Below are 4,477 nucleotides of genomic sequence, written 5' to 3'. Positions count from 1 at the left end.
AACTTAGATAATTTCTGCAAGTCTTTTATATTGTTTCAGAACTGAAGAAAAATATACCAAATAATGGCCACTTTGAGACGGAGTCTCGCTCTGTCGCCCAAGCTGGAATGCAGTGGCGCGATCTCGGCTCACTGAAAGCTGCGCCTCCCGGGTTCATGCCATTCTCCTGCCTCAGCCTCCCGAGCAGCGCCCGCCACCACGCCTGGCTAATTGTTTTGTATTTTTTTAGTAGAGACAGGGTTTCACCATGTTAGCCAGGATGGTCTCGATCTCCTGACCTCGTGATCCACCCGCCTTGGCCTCCCAGAGTGCTGGGATTACAGGCGTGAGCCGCTGCGCCCGGCCAAATAAAATATTTTTTAAAATATCCAAAGAATGGGGTACAAATAAACCAGTAAAGTTGTTAATGATAGAATGGGTAAATAAAATATAAAATAAGTGAAATCAATCCATATATATGATGTTGATATATGAGAAATGTCATAAATGTAAATGGAATAAATCAGTCAAAATTATTTAGCTTATTTATTTATTTGATGGTTATCTCTAATATTTATTTGCCTGGTTATAAAATTAATATGTGAGGAGCATTGGATTTGGTGAGAACATTTTGAACCCTAGCTGTCACGAGCCACCTGCAGGATCTAGACCAGTGACTTCTCAGAACTGCCATTTCCTCATCTGGTAGGCGGGCTGGTGGACCCTGTCTTGCTCACTCCACGTATGGCAGTGCAGATGAAATGCGATCACAGAGGGGAAGCACTTGGAAAGCTGGAAAGTGCTGACAAATGGAAGGGGTTAGTGTCACCACCCTCAGCTGATGTAGTATCAACGTCCAAGCTCCTGCCCCTCCCCCTCCCCAGCCCCTAAATATACCCGCGAATGGAGGGCCACTTGAAGCCTTGGTTTCATGGAGTTGGGGGAGAGGCCCCACACATATTCCTCATGCCTGGCCAGGTGGGGCCTCAGGGGCCCTTCCAGAATCGGGCATCGGCTGTGGCCAGCTGTGTGAGTAACTCCTCCAACTCGGGTCCATCCTCTGGGAAATGCTCGGAGAAGGATCCGATGATGCCAGCAGCTGAGGCCTCGAATTCCAGAAGCTGCACGTCTGAGCCTTCAAGGCAAGTGTTGGGCTGAACGATGAGCTTCTGAGATTCCTTACGCTGACGTACCTTGTCCCTGAGGGTGAGGAAGCACTCAAGGGGCCTCATACCGCTTGTACATGGCCCACTCTCCGGCCACATCCCCCTGTGGACTTCATTCAGCACCTGAAGTCTCTGCAGGAAGCCCTCTAGGGCAGGTTTGCCCCCAGACCGGATCTTGCTGCAGTCGAGGCGGACCCTGGCATCCGGGTGTCCATCAGAGCCTGTGGTGGGAGTGATGGTAATGAGTCCGTCACTAGCCTCCTGTTTACTTTTGCTCAGGAGTTTCACATCACACAATCCCCACCACTACTGTCCAGTATAAATTGATCATGTTTTGCCTGGAACACAGAAGCAACCTCCTAACTGCTCTCACTATTTCTATGTCCACTCTTCAGTCTATCTTCAATAGAATAACCAACATTATATTATTAATTCAGGTCATGCCACTCTTCTCAGAATCACCCAAAGACTTGTCACCCAAGACAAGACAAGACAAAGACTTGTCTCTCAGGATAAGAAACCGGGCCTGCATATTGGCCTGTCACCAGTTGGAGGCTTCAGGTGTGTAGAACTCCAGAGCAAGTAGCCCAGCCTGAATGAACCATGTGGAGCCAGTCCACATAGATCGCGTCCTCCACATCAGCCCCCTGGAAGCCAAAGATCTCCAGCACTTGCGGGGGAGACAGAGGAAGAGACCCATGCTCTCAGCCTGGCACTCTTCGTAGGTGGAGTCGATGGTGCTGAACTTGCTGTCCCGGGTCTCCCTGCTCGGCTACTAGCTCTGAATCTGCTCTCCAGTCTCTGGGTTGATCACTGTCTCCTGGTCAAAGTTGAATGCTCCTTTTTCATCCTGCAGGAAGAGCTTGCCGCTGCCATGGCCCAACAGCTCGTTCAGACCCATCTGCACATTGAAGGAGGGCCCCCTCCAGAGGATGTACAGGTCCTTGTCATTCTCCTCCAGGAAGGTGAGCTTATCCTGCTGCATGGCCTAGGCCACAGCCAGTACGTTCACAAACAACACATTTTTAAGGCCTTACATCCACCTCAGGTCATCGTAGTTGGGGATGTTGATGCCAGCAGGGATGCCAGAACCAGCGAAGTCAAGAACATCCTGGGAGGTGAAGTCGGGGGTGAGGAACTTGTCCTTCTCAAAGACTTGGGGCCAGGGCAGCTCCTTCAGCAGCTGCTCTGCGCTGGCCACCAGCCGCTCAAACTTGACGCTCATGGCCTTGTTCACTATGGCTACGAAACCTTCAAATTGTCCTCGGGAACCAAAGGGTTACAGCTCGCGATGAACCCGCTGTAACTCTCCATGATGGGGCTTTTGTCCTGGCTCTAGAAACAGGAGCCCCTATTGTGGGCCTCGATGGAGCCCTGGGTGAAGCACTGTGTATACTGGGCCAGCATCTGCCCCTGGTAGCCGTTGGCTGCATATGCCTTGGCTTTCTCCATCTGCTCCACTGCCTTCTGGAGGATGAACACTTAGTCCCTCTGGGTCACCTGGAAATGGCTTCCCCGGAATTCGTAGCTCTTCAGCCTGGAAGTCACCTCGGAGTGCAGGGAAGGCTCTGTGCAGAGCACAGAAGTCAGCCACACCTCATAGTCGGGCTTCCCTTCTCCGTTGACCTCTTTGAAGAGCCAGGTGTTGTAGGATCTGAGGTTCTGTGAGTCCAGAAAGTCTTAGGCCAGTTTGGCATCTTCCATGGTACAATTCCCAGAGAAATAGGTGGTGATTCCCTCCTTCCCTAGCCTGAAGTGTCGAAGCCTTAGCTCCAGAGAGAGCATAAGCTCCCTGCAGGTCTGCCAGAGGCCCCTGGTCGGCCTCACTCCTAGGATCACCTGTTTCAACTTCTCTTGATACTTCTTCTCGGTAAGGCCCTTGGCCAAGGCACGCTGGCACAGCTGGTCGGGGTCCTGGGCACAGAAGCGGCAGCTGAGCAGAGGATAGATGTAGGGGGCCTCAGGGGAGGCCTGTAGCAGCCCAGCCAGGCCTCCATACCAGGGGGCATGGGACAGGTGGTGGGGATAGAAGAGGTGCTCTGTGGGTGACAGCAGGCAGAAGGCCTCATGGCAGTCCAGGCTAGACACTCTAATGTCATTGGGCAAGTTGTCCTGGGTGTCCGCCATGGGCCCTGTTGCAGCAGCTTCTCCATTCTCAAACTCTACTTAGTTTATTCTTAAAAAATCATATTTGAGATTTCTTCTTTGGGATAGTATAGTGTATTTTGTGTCAGACTAACTCTTACACTTAGAATAATCAGAAAACTAATTTAAAATGTAGGTATTTTGTCTTCAAAGACATCACAGTTTTATAGAAGAAATGAGGAGGAATCAAATGCATACATTTGCAAAGAGAGGAGAAACTCTCAAAGTTGAAGTAATGACTTTTATTTTCTTTGTCTTGGACTTTTTTCTGGATCTTAGTTGGGCCAAGAATGTGAGTACTTCAGCTTTTTCCAGGCAGAAGACTAGTTTTGGTGGGAAGGGAATCTAGCAGAAATCTGCATGGAACCATGAGCTACGGTGGCAAATTTGAACATGAGGCTATTCAGAGTCCAAATTCTGAAGCTGAAAATGGTACAAAACTATCACAATAAAGGTTTATTTTGTAGAGAAAAGTAATACTATATAAAACATGAAGAGACTTATGTGTTATAATAGTCCATTCTCAAATTACTATAAAGAACTACCTGAGACCAGCTAACTTACAGAGAAAAGAGGTTTAATTTACTCACAGTTCCACAGTCTGTACAGAAAGCATGGCTGGAGAAGCCTCAGAAAACTTACAATTATGGCAGAAGGTGAATGGGAAGCAGGCACATCTTACATGACTGGAGAAGCAGAAGAGGGTGAGGGGAAAGGTGCCACACTCTTATAAACCACCAGATCTCATGAGAATTCACTCACTATCACAAGAACAGCAACGGGGAGCTCTTTGCTGTGCTTGGTGAGTGCCATGATCCAATCAACTTCCATCTAGCCTTACCTCAAACATTGGGGATTAAAATTCAATTTGAGATTTGAGTGAGGACACATTGCCAAACCATATTATTTTACCCCTGGCCCCTCCCAAATCCTATGTCCTTCTCACATTTCAAAATAGCAATCATCCCTTCTCAACAGTCCTGAAAAGTCTTAATTTATTTCAATATTAACTCAAAAGTCCCAAATCCAAAGTCTCATTTGAGACAAAGCTGGTCCCTTCCACCTATGAGACTGTATTGTCAAAGACAAGTTAGTTACTTCCAACATACAATGGGAGTACAGGCATTGAATACATACTCTCTTTCCAAAAGGGAGGAATCAGCCAAAACCAAGGAGTTGCGAGCCCC

At 48.4% G+C, this 4,477-nt stretch overlaps 1 pseudogene; it reads right to left on the bottom strand.

Annotated features, from left to right (window-relative positions):
* Positions 1 to 746: 746 nt before the first annotated feature.
* DPP3P1 (DPP3 pseudogene 1) lies at positions 747 to 3,313 on the bottom strand (annotated as a pseudogene).

This window comes from Homo sapiens, chromosome 4 (assembly GCF_000001405.40).
Source record: "Homo sapiens chromosome 4, GRCh38.p14 Primary Assembly".
NCBI classification, from domain to species: domain Eukaryota; kingdom Metazoa; phylum Chordata; class Mammalia; order Primates; family Hominidae; genus Homo; species Homo sapiens.
This window is presented reverse-complemented; position numbering and strand designations above follow the sequence as displayed.